The sequence below is a fragment of the Homo sapiens genome, chromosome 20, assembly GCF_000001405.40.
Source record: "Homo sapiens chromosome 20, GRCh38.p14 Primary Assembly".
Classification (NCBI taxonomy): Eukaryota; Metazoa; Chordata; class Mammalia; order Primates; family Hominidae; genus Homo; species Homo sapiens.
In genome coordinates, this window is record NC_000020.11 from 10,548,551 (window position 1) to 10,564,774 (window position 16,224).

At 39.9% G+C, this 16,224-nt stretch overlaps 1 protein-coding gene across 1 annotated transcript in view, besides 2 other annotated features; it reads left to right on the forward strand.

Moving 5' to 3' along the window:
• The window catches only part of SLX4IP (SLX4 interacting protein), a 192,726-nt gene that overhangs the window by 113,246 nt on the left and 63,256 nt on the right, over positions 1-16,224 (forward strand). The window contains exons 3-4 of the mRNA NM_001009608.3: positions 7,681-7,770; positions 12,150-12,270. Of these exons, the coding sequence (NP_001009608.1) occupies positions 7,681-7,770; positions 12,150-12,270 (211 nt within the window). The remainder of the gene's footprint in view (positions 1-7,680; positions 7,771-12,149; positions 12,271-16,224) is intronic.
• Positions 480-980: an enhancer, noted in NCBI's record as "H3K27ac hESC enhancer chr20:10529678-10530178 (GRCh37/hg19 assembly coordinates)". NCBI's record gives its function as "activates a minimal SCP1, AML or CMV promoter by ChIP-STARR-seq in naive H9 embryonic stem cells {active_cell/tissue: H9 hESC(naive)}" and the evidence as "EXISTENCE:reporter gene assay evidence [ECO:0000049][PMID:30033119]".
• Positions 10,193-10,572: an enhancer, noted in NCBI's record as "active region_17547". NCBI's record gives its function as "activates an Ori minimal core promoter by ATAC-STARR-seq in GM12878 lymphoblastoid cells {active_cell/tissue: GM12878}" and the evidence as "EXISTENCE:reporter gene assay evidence [ECO:0000049][PMID:35858748]".

A 16,224-nucleotide genomic window follows, 5' to 3' on the forward strand; every position in this document is an offset into this window, starting at 1 on the left:
CTTTGTGTGTTATGATCTCATATTCAGGCTGTGTCTAATTCTGTTACTGAGATTATGGAGTGTTCCTTGTACCCCACCTGACAAGTATTGCCAGGTTGGCAAGGCACCGCACCAAACAAAACCCAGTCATGATCACCAGCGATCTCCTAAAAGAGAAAGAGTGCTTTTAAATTTCTCAGTGTTTCCAGAACGCCAAGGGGTAATAGTTTCTGCTTTGTGAGTTGTCACGAGAATTAAATGCAATAATGTACAGAAAGGGCTTGACACCAAGTCTGGCACACAAGCGCTCCATGAATCTTATTGTTATTGCCAGCTTGTTCACCATTAGTAGATTTTTGCAATTGGACTAAATATATAGCATATTCCAACAGAATGACTCTTTATTCTCCCATCTCCTGACCTGTCTGCTAGTTTACTGAGTATGCCATCCAAAAGGTATGCTGGTTCCCTTTCTTATATGTAAACTACAAGCTTGGATTTCCTGGGCCAGTGTTTCACGTGAGTAACTGGCCAAGGGAATTCAATTGACAACACACTTGCATTGACTTTTCTTCAGCTTTTAACTCTCTGGATAGGGATTCTTAATGTTAGGAGACTTCTCTTCTACCCTCACAGCTCTACCCCACCTCTTGCAGGGTTTATTGCTGTCATCCTCTGCTGCATTCTTTTCTTTCCCCTCTTCACCTTTTCTTTTCCCTAACCACCCCTCCCACCTCGTTCTTTCTACAGTGAGGCTTTCACTGCCTCACTGCACTTGTGTTTCAGCATGGGGCCCTACAGTGGCATGGGGCCCTACAGTGAGCTCTCCGTATCTGTGTTGGAATGGAATCAGACATGGAATCAGGCTGCCCAGGGAAAGGAGCTGTGGGACCCTGTTGAGAATCCCTGGTGCAGTCACCAGGCACTAAGGCGTAGGCTGTTTTAGGGCACACTTGGCTGCCATTGCTCACCTAGAGGGGATAGGGGCCAGCTCCCAAATAAAGGGGAGTGGGTTCCAGGCTAGACAGCCTAAACGTGCTCCCACATGAGGCTGGAAGTGTGTCCTGAGTAGCCTTCCACAGGGGTTAAATTTCCTCAGAGTAATGTCTGGCAATGTGGAGTCTCTCAGATCTGGATTTGATTCCTGGGTCTGGCACTCACTGCCTGTGTAATCTTGGACTAGACCTTCCCGAATTCAGCTTCCTTATCTACGAAATGCAAATAATCATTGTGCTCCTTCACCAGAGTGGCAAGGATTTAATTGAATGCTCTGAGTAAAACTTAGCACAGTGCCTGGAACATAGGTGCTCTGTAAATGGCAATCAATATTTTAAACTGTGATTGTTTAATCACATCACTATAAAATTTTGCATTGTAAGATATATGCAGTTTGTGGTAATATGAAAATATTTAATATGTTTTCTAGAACTTTTTTGTAAAATTCACACTCCAGGAAGAAAATTTCCATGTCTTCTGAGGAAGCCTTTAGGAGAAACTCTTTCTAGCTGTAGTATCAGAAATGATTCAGTTATCCTCAGCATGAATTCCTTCTCATCTTCTTGACTCTGATTGGTGCTGTATTTTTCACATTTGTACCTAGGAATCTCAGAGCCAGATGTTGCAGAGACTTGGGACTATGGTGGGAATTTCGTGCAGGCCTATCATCGGTTTCATCTTATGTTTTTACCCTTGTTTGCTTTTACTTATTCTCCCCATTTTTAATCTTTGCCTCGTTACTTGAAGCTGCCTTATACCCTCAATGCCAGGTAGGTGTAAAATGCCAATGACGATTTGTGTGGCTTCTCAGCGACAGACCCATGTATGTAAGCTGCCTCTGGAAACCCAGTGGGCGTGGTAGAAACGGACCACATGCCTTGGGCCTCACCCTTGTCCTTCCTCTCCCTCACACCCAACCACATCCTCTTACTTCTGTCTTCTGAGTGTCCCTCAAATGTGCCCCTTCCCCTTCACCTCGAGATCACCTTGCTTGATCTCTTATTTGGGTTCCTGCAGTGGCTTTGAACCTGTCTGCCTGGCTCCAGTGATTTCCCCTTGCCCGCCCATGCTCCACACTCCTACCCAAGAGAGCCCTCCAGCCCACCAGCCTCCTCAGCCTGTCCAGGGCCCCTCTGTGGCCTGAGCCTTCCTGCCCTATTGGCCCCATCTGCCAGCAATGCCCTGTGTTTCTGCATTGAGACTCTTTTCCGTCTCCAAAGCACGCGAGCTCTTTCTCTGCATGGGGCGTTATTCATTTTTCCTTCTGCACTCCTTTCCCTGTTCCTCAGTACTTGACTGCGACACCACCTCCCCTTCCCTCACCTTCCTCAGGCAGAGCTGTCACTCCGCTCCCTCTGGTACTTGGGTATGTGCCGTGGTCACACATGCCACAGTGCCCAGCTGCTGCCCCTCCCTCTCTCAGGGCCTGGCTAGTGCCCCTGTGAAACTCAGCAGGTGTTTCAGATGATCAATGAGTGCATGAGAGAATGTGGGGACCTTTCTACATCTCTTAAGAGTTCTGAGTCTGCTCCAGAGATGGCTTTGTGGGTGAGAAATGTTAATATTTTCACCTTTATTCTTATATTTAATGTAAACACAGAAGACAAGACCTCCCACCTCCGAGGACTTGGAAATAGTGTGAGTTGCACCTCTGGAATTCTTAGGAAAGAGATAGGAAAAATAACCAACACGTTCAGTTGGCAGTGAGTTTCCAGTGAAGTAATCCTAAGATTCTTGTATTCCCATTTCACGAAATATGAAAAATGACTGCTTGTTGTTGCTGATGGCAGAGTTGTCGCTACTCCAGAATAGGGAGAGAGGAAGTTGTTCTATGATGTATCAGTGCACTGGGCCGAATAGTAACGGCTTGGTCCCTGGAAAGGGCTTAGAGCTCTCCCTTTGCAGACAAGGCTGTGATTTGCCCAATTCTTGGGGCTAACTTGTTCTGTCATTTGTTTTTTTCATTTGTCTTCCTTTCATTAAATATTAAGTATTCACTGAGGGCTGGTAGTGTGTTGGTCACTGGGGATGCAAGATTGGCAGAGGTATAGACCTGTCTCCATGGCTTATAGCCTAGGATGGGGGCCCTACATGGACCAGTCACTTAATGTAGAAATAAATAATCACATGAAGAATGGGCTGGTCCAGAGCAGGGAAAGAGAAACTGTTCAGAATAGCTTCACAGAGTTGACCACACTCCTGCTAGGGTTCGAGGATGCATAGGATCTCAACAAGCATGGAAGCAGCGAGGCAAGTTGTAATGTAAGCCAAGGATGAAAACGTCAGGTGCAGGAGACAAAGACATGGGCCTCATTAGAGCTTGTGAGTTGCTGCTCTGAGCTGCAGCAGGAGTGGACTGATCCGATTTATAGGTTAGAGATTTCCCAGATATGCATTGAGGGTTCATCCAGGACACCAACAGAAGTGACTGTAATCTTCCAAGTGGGAGAAGATAGGAGCAGCAGAGCAAGAGAGAAGTGTGTGTGAGAACGCTCTAAAAAATTAAAATGGACAAGATGCGTGACTGATTCTGGAGGGTTAGGGGAAGGGAGGAGTTGGGGGTGACACCCCTGTTGTTGGCTGAATCCTCTGGGTGGAGGGGATAGAAGCCAGACCAGACCCTGGCTGGGGGACTCGCAGCCCAGTGCATGCAATGTGAAGCTATTCCTAGCAGCCTGATGGTTGCTCAAGAGGTGGCTTGGCCTCTGCAGAGTGACCAGTTCTGGGCTGAGAAAGAAGTGATGGTTACCATGTTGCTTCTCTCAGAAGAAAGCTGGAGAGTTGATCTTCTGAGACTAGAAATAACCTTCTCCTAATTAGGAGGAGGAGAAAGGGAGGCTGTGCTGCTGGCAGTGTAAGAAGCTTTCTTTTCTTTTTTTTTTCTTTTTTTTTTTCACTTCTGTTTTCTCATGAGTGACAAGAAGCAAAGCTTTGAGAGCAGGGAACTTTGGAAAGGCAGAATACCTCTGCCTAGTGTGGGAGGGAGTTGAGAGAGCTCAGAACTGCAGGCTGCAGAGGGAGAGCCCCCTGCGGGGGAGGGGACTGCCTGCCAAACAGTGGAGGCTTCCAGAAACCCCAGGAAAGTCTGCTCACCACAGTAAGATTTGACAATTTATTTTTCTAAAAAGAGACATTCTACTCAATCTGTTTATTTTCAAACTTAGACTAGGTTATTTGTGATCAAAGTCACAAAATGGTGAGAAAAATACCAAATTGGACCTTACTATTAGGTTAATTCTTCAGCAAGCTGCTGTTACAGTATCAATTCAAGTTGCTTAAGCTTAAGATTCCCCTCCCCCCACCCCCTTTTTTTTTTTAAAGAATTAGTTTTGCGGTGGTAGGAGGGTTACAAGAAAAAAAAACAATTAGTTTTGCTAATGAAAAGGTAGCAGTGAACTTGGTTTAGATTAAAAAATCAGGAAAGAGCACCTGTAGGAACCTGCAATAAAATGTGTTGAGACATGTTTTACCGCTTTGGAAGGGCTTTTATTCCAGAATCCTTGGAACTTCAATGGGCCTGTGATTGAATTCAGAGGCCAGTGAACTTGCATGGGAAAAAGTTACGTCTTTATTGTGATCAAGTTCTAGTAAATTTAGTTTTCCTTTTTATTATGAACGTGGGATTCATAATCAAAATATGAATAATATTAGCAGTATTTGTCACCATTAGAAATTATAGCTCTTTTCATATTACATTAAGGTTGTTGCAGATAATGAAGATATCATTTATGCTTATCGCCACTTCAGATTTGTAGTAGTACTAGATCCATCACTATGTGACAAGACCCAATGCCTTAATAAACAAGGACATACATTCCTATGTCTCAAATTTTTCTTTCGTTAAGATAACTGTACTTCAGTGTAATTGGTTTTCTTGTTAATCCTATGTGTTGTGTTTCATGCATTTAAAAATATTATTCTGAGCAACTTTCATCAGCTTCACAGTTGGCTAAATAAGTCCATGGCACAGGAAAGGTTAATATTCCGTGGCTAAGATCCTGTAGTTGTGGCATGCGACCTCCACCTGGTGGCAGCATACTCCTTAAAGGTTAAATTCTGTAACCAACAGTTGAGAAGGACTTTAACAGTATACTTGAGTGGTTTTCAAACATTTTTTATTACAACCCACAATAAGAAATAGGCTTTCCATCATAACTGAGTACACACTTACTTACATTTCACAAAACAATTCTTGATCTAACCATATGACACATTGATATTTTGTATTGCATTCTAATATTATCTTCAGTTCTCTTTCATTAAAATAAAATGCTGGTTGCAACACACTAAACTGTAACACACTAAAGTGCACTCTTTTACATCGTAGGAAACCATCTTTCAACATGCTTCACAGTTTATTACCTGGTAAACTTCATTTGGGTCTCCCACACATTTTCAGGGACGTAATACCTACATTTTAAATAACTGCCAACAAGTATGAGTGCATTTTACACAGTGTTTAAAAATTGTTTATTATTGATGTATAATTTAAATATAGTGAAAGGAACTGATTGCAGTGTATACATAACATACCCCATCAAGATACAGAATAGTCTTATCACATACAAAGTTCCTTTGTGACAGTTCTCACCCAGTTTTTTACCCCCCTGGGAAATTACTGTTTTGATTCCTTTCATCACACGTTGATTTTGCTGTTTTAGAATTATATATAGATGGAACCATACAGTATATGTTATTTTGGTCTGGTTTCTTTTGCTCAACCTAATGTTTTTGAGATGAATACATGTTGAGTCTATCGGTAGTGTGGTGAGTAGTGTTCCCTTGCATGAATATGGCACAATTTGTTCTCTTGTTGTAGACTTTTGGGTTGTCTTCACGTTGGGTTATTATAAATAAAACTTCCATGAATATTTGCATACAAGTCTTTGTGTGCACATATACTTCATCTCTCTTGAGTAAACACCTGGGAAGGAATCATTGGCTCAGTTGATAAGTAAATGTACGTTTAGCTACAGGAAACTGACAAACCCATTTGCCAGAGTGGTTAGACCATCTTACATTTCCACTGGGAAAGTATGAGAGTCTGGGTTGTTCCATATCCTTACCAACATTTCATGTTATGTCAGTCTTTTTAACTGTAGTCATTCTGGTGGGTATTGTAGTTGTATCTCTTGGTGGTTTTAATTTTAATTTGCCTGATGACTAATGATATTGAACACTTTTTTCATTTTCTTATTAGCCATTCATTTATCCTATTTGTGAAGTGTCTATTCAAACTCAGGTTTTTTGTTTTGCTTTTTTTAAAAATATCAGTTTGTAGGAGTTCTTTACATATTTTGGGTACCAGTCCTTTTTGCCAGATACATGTATTTTTGAATACATAAATACATTTCTCCCAGTCTGTAACATACCTATTTATTTTATTAGTGGTGCTTTTTTCGTTAACAGAAATTTTTAATTTTGAAAATTTAACAATTTTACAACTATTTTTCTCAATATTTGGTGCTTTCTGGATCCTAAGAAATCTTTTCCTATTCCAAAGATCAGGAAGATAGTTTTGGCTTTTTTGTCTAGGTGTGTGATCCATCTCAAATTAAATTTTGTATATAGCGTGAGGTAGGTGTCAAGTTTCACTTTATATTTACATCTGATGGTCTAACCATTTGTTGAAACTACTTTCCTTTCACTGTTGATATATAGGACAGAATTTAAAAAAAAAAAAACAAAACTGTCCAGCCAAGGAAGTGAAAAAACTGAACCTCTGAGTCTCATAAACCGAATCTCTGGGTCTCTCAGACCATCCCCAACCTTGGTGTCCCATTCCTTACCAAATTAGTTTGTTCACAGTTATCTTGTGATTCTCAGAAATTACTTCACTCATATGTGAGGATTTATAAGGCAACAACTTTTCACAGGGTCTGTAACTGTGCTATCCAGTATGGAACCACTAGCTACATGTAGCTACTTAAATTTAATTTAAATTTTATTAAAAATGTAGCTTATCAGTTACAATAGCCACATTTTAAGTGCTCAGCAGCCACATATGGCCACATACGGCCACATATGGCTATCTTATTGAACAGCATATATATAGAATATTTCCATTATTTTCTAAAGTGCTGGACAGCGCTAGCCTATAGAATAAGAACAGAGTCAGGCTTTGTACAGTTTTGTAGCATACTTTAATGAATTTTGTTTTGTTTTGTTAACTAGCATTCAGTATGTATCTTTATCTTCTTGCTTATTTCTCATTCTTCCATGTTCCTATTTCAATTCCAAAGTGTACCGTCCTAGCCAATCCTTTTGTCCGTCTAAAAATGCAGTATCTTATATCTGTTATTTGCTGCTTAGAAGAAAGAATTCCCCTGGCTGTGCATGGAATCATTCTTTTGTGGAGCCTACCTAGTACTGACCTATTTAACTTCTCTCGATGCTTCACGTCTTCCAACTGCTGCCGGGATGCTTGGACATCCCCTTTCAAGGTGCAGCCCAGAGACAGATATTTTGTCTTTCCTGTCTTGATTAACATTGCATCTCTCCTTAGCATTTCCACTGTAAATGTTAAACTTAGGGAAAGTAGTAGATTATGACCTGTAACCATGTTCTTTATTAAAAGTTCTGTCTAGTAGTGAACTTTGTTGCCATTTCATCATGAGCAACCACATAGGAATTTGTGAGATTTTCTCTCATTGTTTGCTGGGCATGAGCCGCACAGACACTGACTCTGCCATTAATGTCTTTCAGTGTGGGAATTTTGCTGTCCTCGTGGATCTTCATATCTTGCCACAAGGTTCAAACAAAGATACAAGCTGGTTTTCTGAACAGAAGAAAGAGGTACAACAAAACTTTCTACTATTTAATTGCAAGTAGCTGCTGCTGCTATAAGAAATATCAGCTCTTTCCAGCTTTCATTTCTGTTAGTGGGAAAAAAATGTTGCGTATTTAATCCTTGAAAAACAATTGTATTCCCAATGACAGACACATATGCACCCACTTTTTTTTTCCTTCAGAAACTGACACATTCATAAACTTCATATGATACTGTATTATTTAAACCAGACATTTTATACCTCTTTGTTTTGGGGGAAGGATTTCTATATATTCAAAAAGAGGAGAAGAAGAAGAAGAAGTTAAAGTGACTATTTCAGTAATCAGGGATTTTAACCTGACTGGTTGTGAAGGATGGCCTGAGCACCTGAAGCAGGTGTGGCAGTTAACACAAGGCTGAACCTTCACACCCATCTTAAAGCCTCAGCTTTTATTTTCTATCATCCTTGTATTATCATGAGCCTTTGACAAGTCAGGAAATACTTGACGGTGTTCCTTCTCACAATGGTCAGTCAGGAAAGCCAGTAGCCGGGGGCTTAGCAGAGCATGATGCTGGACTTCACTGAGCCTCAGCCTCCTCATCTGAAAGTGAAGAGGTTTGCCTAGATGCCAAATTCACTCCTGGTTCTAAGTTTCAACAATCCCACCCAAGTGCTGCTTGTGGTGGAGGCTTACAAGCTGCACTGAGCTCTCACCATTGCTTTGCCTCCTTCTCTGATCCCTGCTCACCAGAGAGCAGGAGTAACCAGCTTGTGGCTTTTACACACCTTTAAAAATATCATTATCCGTGATGTCCATTTACCACAGTTGCTTTTTAGACTGAGAAATAAAAATCAGATTTGTTAAAATATAGTATATGGCGAAGAAACTATTGACAGTGGTGAAAAAACAAAAAGCCACCCTTTTCTGTGATAATTGCTTTTAATTAGCTTTTGGAGCTCACTAGAAAAAAGATCCCCACCCCCCAAAAAAGATTTTATAGGATAATACATTTTCATTCAAAGGATAATATTATCAAGACTTTGCTGTCATTATTTTGCAAAGAATACCTGGTGACCTAAAGCTGAGAAAAGGAAGGCACAAGGTTCTGTATGGTGGGATTTATCATTCAGGTAAATAACTGTGGACTCTTCTCTTCAGGACTTTTAAATATTTAGCAAGTCAATCAACATCTCCTACTGCCACTTACCTTCATATAATTCCACTCCTAGCTTACTAACGCATGTTGCTGTGATTCAAAACTGTTCACTCGTTTCCCCAAAGTGACCAATAGTCACCCAAGGGGACCTCACCCCAAAATCTTCTGACTTGACTTAAATTAACAATGTTATGGAATCCACCATTCCAGGCCTGTTCTCCATTCCCTTTCGGCTTTGCCACCTTAGACCTTTATCGGCCTTAGACCTTTCTTGTTAATATTGAGTCCGTTTTGCCCAAGATTCAGTTAATTTGGAATGCTTTAGAATAAAGCCCTGGGTGTGTGAATCACCTCATAGCCAAAGCGTGAGGCTAGGTTTTTGTTTTTTTAGGAGCCACATGCAGCTGCGTGGATGCTCATAGTACCTACTTGAGGGCAGCAGGGCATGACTTAGCAAAGCTGTGCAGTGCATGACAGGACCTGCAGAGCAGTGCTGCACTGGCAGCTGCAAGGGGCAGGTCGCTGTAGCAGGCTGAGCTTGCCTCTCAAAACCAAATGGTCGGTTTGCTGCTGCTTCTTTAATTTGCCCTTTTAAAATGTATATTGGCCAGGTGCAGTGACACACACCTGTAATCCCAGCACTTTGGGAGCCCAAGGCAGGCGGATTGCCTGAGTCTAGGAGTTCAAGACCAGCCTGGGCAACATGGTGAACCCCCATCTCTATAAAAAGTATAAAAATTAGCCAGATGTGGTGGCTTGTGTCTGGAATCCCAGCTACTCTGGAGGCTGAGGTGGGGGGATCACTTGAGCCCAGGAGGTTAAGGCTGCAGTGAGAGTTGTGATCATGCCACTGAACTCCACCATGGGTGGCAGAGTGAGACCCTGTCTCAAAAAAAAAAAAAAAAAAAAACAATTCGCTGATGTTAAAATTCCTCTGGGATCATTTGTGTGTGCGTAAGAAAGGAGAAAAGCTAGTTGAAGAAAGGCTATGACTTTAGCTTAGGTTCAGTGTCCCCAGGCTTTCATCTTCTTTATCCTTAGATCCTCTCATGATTGGGATTTTATGAGCAACCAATTTGATTCCATTTTAACAGTCATTTTATACAGTGAAAGCCTAAGAATATCCAGTTCCTTTTTAGAAAAAAGAACTAATTACATGTATTAACATATGTTTATTTTGAGTGCAGCACGAGTAGTCTTTGTACCCAAACAGTTGAAGTCAAACTGTTCCATGTGTCAACTCGAGGAAGCGAGCACAGCCCGTTAGCCTAGAGATGCCCTCTGCATCTCTGTCTTGAGCACTGATTTTAACTTGTTCTTCTTATCTGCCCCTCAAAGGTAGCTGAGAAGTTTTCTTTTCTTGCATTGTTGTGGTTCTGAAGAGAAAGCTTCATGACGTGTGGTGTGGTCGGTTACTGGTGTCTATCACACTGCACTTGGTCTACCTTGCATTCGTCAAACTGACTCACAGAAGGAAAGCCCCACAGCTAGAGGGAGAAAGTTTGTGTGTATGAGCCTTTGCTTTATTTTTGTCATGCTATTTTTAGTTTTAGCCTTATAGGGCATTTATAGCCAAATTTTAGCAATCCTTGTTTCCATGTATGTCTTTCACATATTTTCTAGCCCAGTCATAGTTGAACTCTGCATGTGAAGCAAAATTCTTTAATTGTTTTTTAAAAAAAAAAAAACCTATGAGGCGGCAAGGCTGCCTTTTTGTTGTGTGAACAATGCCGAAACACTCAACTGTAAAGGGATATCTCTGTATTCCATGAGGCACTGCATCTTTAGGCTGCAACATGAAAAGCAGGAGAGAGGAAACCAGTGTTTGTACTTTATCTAGAAACTCACACTCATGAGTTAAATCAAGGGTTTTCTATATTGTTTGAGGAGTACAAGTGTTTTTAATAAAGGAAAAGTTTTGCTATCATTGCTCTTTAGAACAGCTAAAAATTTTGTTGTTTTAATTTGTGAAGATTCTAAGAGATCAACCTGAGATGACATTGCAAGAAACCAGCAAAACAGGTTTGAGGTGACCTGGGCAACTCTGAGTTTTCTGCAGTCTTTGGGAATTAAACAGGAATCATCAGTTCTTATACATCAGTTCTTAATCTAAATTAAGAAATTTAGATTTGTGTATGATTTTACTCTCTTTTTCTACATTAGGTCACAATTTCCTGTTAGTGCAGGAAACAACTGCAAAGAGTATCTTCCCATTGTGTTGGGCTTAAATTTTTGTTTACCTTTATTATAAATAACACCAAAACAATAAAACAATTGACCTATCCTGAAACTTACTAGTGATAAGGAATACTGAAATTGAATTAAAACCATGTGTTTCTGTCGCCTAATAAATGTTAATCTACTTTAGAGAAATTATATTATTTTCACTGTTAGTACATGAGTGTAGTACGTTTTTACAAAAACAAAGGCATATACAGTATCATCAACAAGAGCGTAGAAGAAAATAGGATTAGTGATTTCCAGTTCTCTGCTTAACTCACTGCTCAACAGTTTCCTTCTTGAGTAGATTTGTAAACCCAAGACCAGAAACTAATGAATGATGGTGTTTAGATTTTTAAAAATTTTTAGACCAAGTTTGAAAAATGGGATAGTTTATATAAAAATTACTGTTTCTGACTCCTTTTGAACAAAGATCTAGCAACACTGTGCCTATAAACATGAAACAGTCCCCTAAAACCATGGGGGGCTGCTTGCTGTTGACTGGGCTGTGGTGTGGGTTCCCCATGCCGTTGCACCAGCAGTGGATGAATATGCCCTTACTCCTGGCCCCATCCCTGTCTACAGTCCCCTGGCCACACTGGGTGTTTCCCTGGGGCCCTTGATGCCAGCCAGTGTTGGCTCTTCTTGACTTATTTCTTCTATTTGTCACAGTACAACTGATTGATACTTATATGAAAGCATTCTTTACCATACTTATTACCTCCTTGCCCTGATGTTTACACTGAAATATTTTTATCTTTCTTTTAGAAATATGAAACTGAGGCAGAAAGAAATGAAATGACTTTCCCAGATCACACAGTGAGCCAACATCATGGTTTCGAGCAAACTTCAGTAGCAAATTTAAATTTGCGGTGTTATTCATGAGCACATATGACATTCCTTTCAACATTCACAGCTAAATTAAAAAGCAAAATGAAATGAAATGTTCATTGTTAACTTTTTAATATATATGTTAATTTTTTTGCATTAAATTTGAAGGTTATATCTAATTTTTTATTTGCTTTAGGAAGTCTGTTTACTGTTAAAAGAAACCATTGATTCAAGAGTTCAGGAGTACTTGGAAGTTCGCAAACAGCACAGGCCATCAAATGCAGAATTCACAAGATCCAATCCCTTGTCCTTAAAAGGTAGGCACAGAGCACTTTGATTTTGGACAAAAAATAAATAGAATTTCTGCTCCGTAGAGATGGCAATTATGTTTGACTCTGACTGTCATGTTAGTATAGTGATACATTTTAAAAATATGTCCTAATGAAGATACTTTGTTTGGGTAAAGAAAATTAACTGAAGAGCCCTCAGGACTTTTAATGGTAGGCAAAATGTATAAAAATAGCAAATAAAACATTCCTAAGGAAACTGTAAATTGTTTAAAGGATTGTTTTTTATTTTTAAGGTTTTTTTATTTTTAGTAGACTTAATAATTGTACACATTCATAGGATACAGAGTGATATTTTGATACGTGTATACAATGTGTAATTTTCAAATTAGAGTAATTAGCATATCTATCACCTGAGCATTTATCATTTCTTTGTGTTGTGAGCATTTAAAATCCTCACTTATGTTTTTTTAAAAAATATACAATAAATTAATGTTAACCATATTTACCCTATAGTGCTATAGAACACTAGAACTTACTCTAGTGGTAGTCTTATATCCATTAGCTAACCTCTTCCTATCCTTCCCTTCCCCATCCTTCCTAGTCTTCTAATACTCACAACTCTGATTGTATGAGCTCAATTTTTTTAATAAATAGCTTCTACATATGAGTGAGAACATGTGATATTTTATTTTCTTATTTTCTGATTACATCATCAAATTTTAATATGTCTATATATCTATTTTTCTTTTTTCTTTTTTTTTTTTTGGTTATAGTAGTAAGTTCTTAAGTGGTGATTTGTGAGATTTTGGTGCACCCATCACCCAAGCAGTATACACTAAACCTGATTTGTAGTCTTTTATCCCTCACTCCCTTCCCCACCTTTCTCTCTGAGTCCCCAAAGTCTATTGTGCCATTCTTAATGCCTTTGCATCGTCATAGTTTAGCTCCCACTTACAAGTTTGGCTTTCCATTCCTGAGTTACTTCACTTAGAATAATAGTCTCAAGTCCCATCCAGGTTGCTGAGAATGCCATTAATTCATTCCTTTTTATGGCTGAGTAGTATTCCATCGTGTATGTGTGCCGGACTTACTTCACTTAATTTCCTTTGGGCTCATCCGTGTTGCTATTGAAACAGGAAAAGATACCTTATCCCTGAAACAGGGCGTGGGATGGGGATGTGTCATCGGTGCCCTGCGGCTCAACCCTTAGGGGAACATACAGACGGGCAGTTCATAGGAAGCATGGGCTCCAATCCTGCAGCAGCGTCTAGGGTTGAGTGTTTACAGATCCTCAAGCCCCAGTGGGCGTGTGTTACAATGTGCTTTTTCAGTTTAGCCGTCTGCAGGCGGGTTGCGTTAATCTACTCGATTAGGCCCTCTGCCTTATCTCAAGGACAGAGGGCTTTCTGTATCCCGGGTTCTTGCCTTGGTGTACCGGAAATACTGGATCACACGTGGGCTTGGAGAATGGGTGCAAGGTTTTACTGAGTGGAGGTGGCTCTCCGCGAGGTGAATGGAGAGGCCAGAAGGGGGATCTAGTGGGAAGGTGGTCTTCCCCTGGAGTTGGGCCGCCCAGCTGCCGGACTCTCCGACTGCCCCTGGCAGAATTTCACGTTATCCCGCTGTCCATGGCCTGCCGGAATCTGCTGGTGCCTGTCAGAACAACTTCTTCCGTTCCTCTGCTCCTCTTGTTGTCCAGCCGCCTGTGTGTGTGCCCGCTAGGGTCTCGGGGGGTTTTATAGGCACAAGATGGGGGGCGTGGTAGGCCATGGTGTTCTTGGAAAATACAACATTTGGGCGTGAAAACAGGAGTGCCTGTCCTCACCTAGGTCTGTGGGCACAGGCCCAAGGGTGGAGCCCTCACCAGGGACCCTGCCCTTCTCTACCCAGCACTTCCTTGCCCCTCTCCCATATCACCATGAATGACAGATTTTATTTTATTTATTTATTTTTTTGTATATATTGCTGAATAGTATTCCATTGTGTATACATACAGCACGTTTTCTTTATCCATTCATCTGGTGATGAACATTTAGATTGATTCCGTTATCTTAGCTATTGTGAGTAGCACTGCAGTAAGCAAGGGGGTACAGATCTCTTCAATATACTGATTTTCTTCTTTTGTTAAAATACCTAGTAGGGAGATTGGTGGGTCATATGGTAATTCTATTTGTAGATTTTTGAGGAACCTCCAAATTGTTCTCCATAATGGTTGTACTAATTTAAATTCCCGTGAATCATGTATATGAGTTCCTTTTTCTTCACATCCTTGCCAGCACTTGTTAGTTTTTGTCTTTTTGATAATAGCCATCCTAACTGCGGTGAGATATCTAATTGTGGTTTTGATTTGCATTTCCCTGATGATTAATAACGTTAAGCAATGTTTCATATACTTGTTGGCCATGGGTATGTCTTCCTTTGAGAAATATTCAAATCCTTTGCACATTTTAAAATCAGATTCGCTTATTTGCTATTGAGTTATTTGAGTTCTTTGTATATTATGGACATTAGTCCCTTGTCAGATTAATAGTTTGCAAATACTGTCTTCCATTCTACAGGTTGTCTCTTCATGCTGTTGATTGTTTCCTTTGCTGTATAGAAGATTTTTAGTTTGATATAGTCCCATTTTTCTATTTTTGTTTTTATTGCTTGTGCTTTTGAAGTCTGATTCATAAAATCCTTGCCTAGACCAATGTCTTGAAGAGTTTCCTCTGGGTTTTCTTCTAGTAGTTTTTTAGTTTTTGGGTCTTAAATTCAAGTCTTTAATTCATTTTGAGTTGATTTTTGTATCCAGTGAGAGATAGGGGCCCAGTTTCATTCTTCTGCATATGGATATCCGGTTTTCCCAGCAGCATTTATTAAAGAAAGTGTCCTTTCCCCTAATATGGTTCTTGGCACCTTTGTTAAAAATCAGTTGGCTCTAAATAAGTGAACTTATTTCTGGGTTCTCTATTCTGTTCCATTGCTCTATGTGTCTGTTTTTATAACCATACCATGCTGTTGTGGTTACTATAGCTTTGTAGTATATTTTGAAATCAGGTAGTATGATGTTTCCAGCTTTGTTCTTTTGCTCACAGTTGCTTTGGCTATTTGGGTCTTTTGTGGTTCCATACAAATTATAGTGTTACTTTCTTCTATTTCTGTGAAGAATGTCATTGGTATTTTGGTAGGGATTGGTTAATAAATGCTTAGACTCTTGCTAAACTGTCAATTTCTAAAAGGTATGAGCATTGTGGACCCAGCTCGACCACAGGATTGATTTTCACTGATGACAGAGGTTCATTTTGTTCTAGGCTGTGTAGATCTAGACACCTGCAGGGACAAGAGGGACACGCCATGGTATACCACCGTCTTATATTGTTTATTAACAGCATCACTAAAAACAGAAATTGATTCATGCTTTTACTTTGTCATCAGTGCCAAAAACATCTCTCTATACATTTATCTAACTGCCTGTTTTCAGCTGATCCTATAGTCTTTTAAGCCTGTTTCAAAACCAAGTTCAAAACCACTAACCAAAAAGCCATGCCTATTTCCTCCTCAGTCTTCAGTTCTATGTCTCATGTTCCCTGAAAATAGAGTTGTTGTTTCTGTGTAGGTAGTTTGGATGAATGTGGATTGTTTATGCTTTTGTGTAAATTGGATATCTTCTCTCATTTGCATGAGTTCCTTACCTTTTGTTACATTTCCAGATCCATATATTGGAATATGCCTCAACTTGGGTATATATACTTAATATACAACCCTGGATAAGCTGAAGTCTCTAGGCTGGTGACTTTGCTCATTGCTATAATAATATTAATATTTTTTATGCTTTGAGATTTCTTTATAAACAATTTGCATAAATGACTTGGAGGCTGTTTTTCCAATTATATGATATAAAGGAGTATGAAAATTACTCACAAACTTGGTCAAAGAACAGCATAGTACAGACATTGCCAATAGCCTCATTGTTTTTAAGAGTTACTGAAAATTTATTTC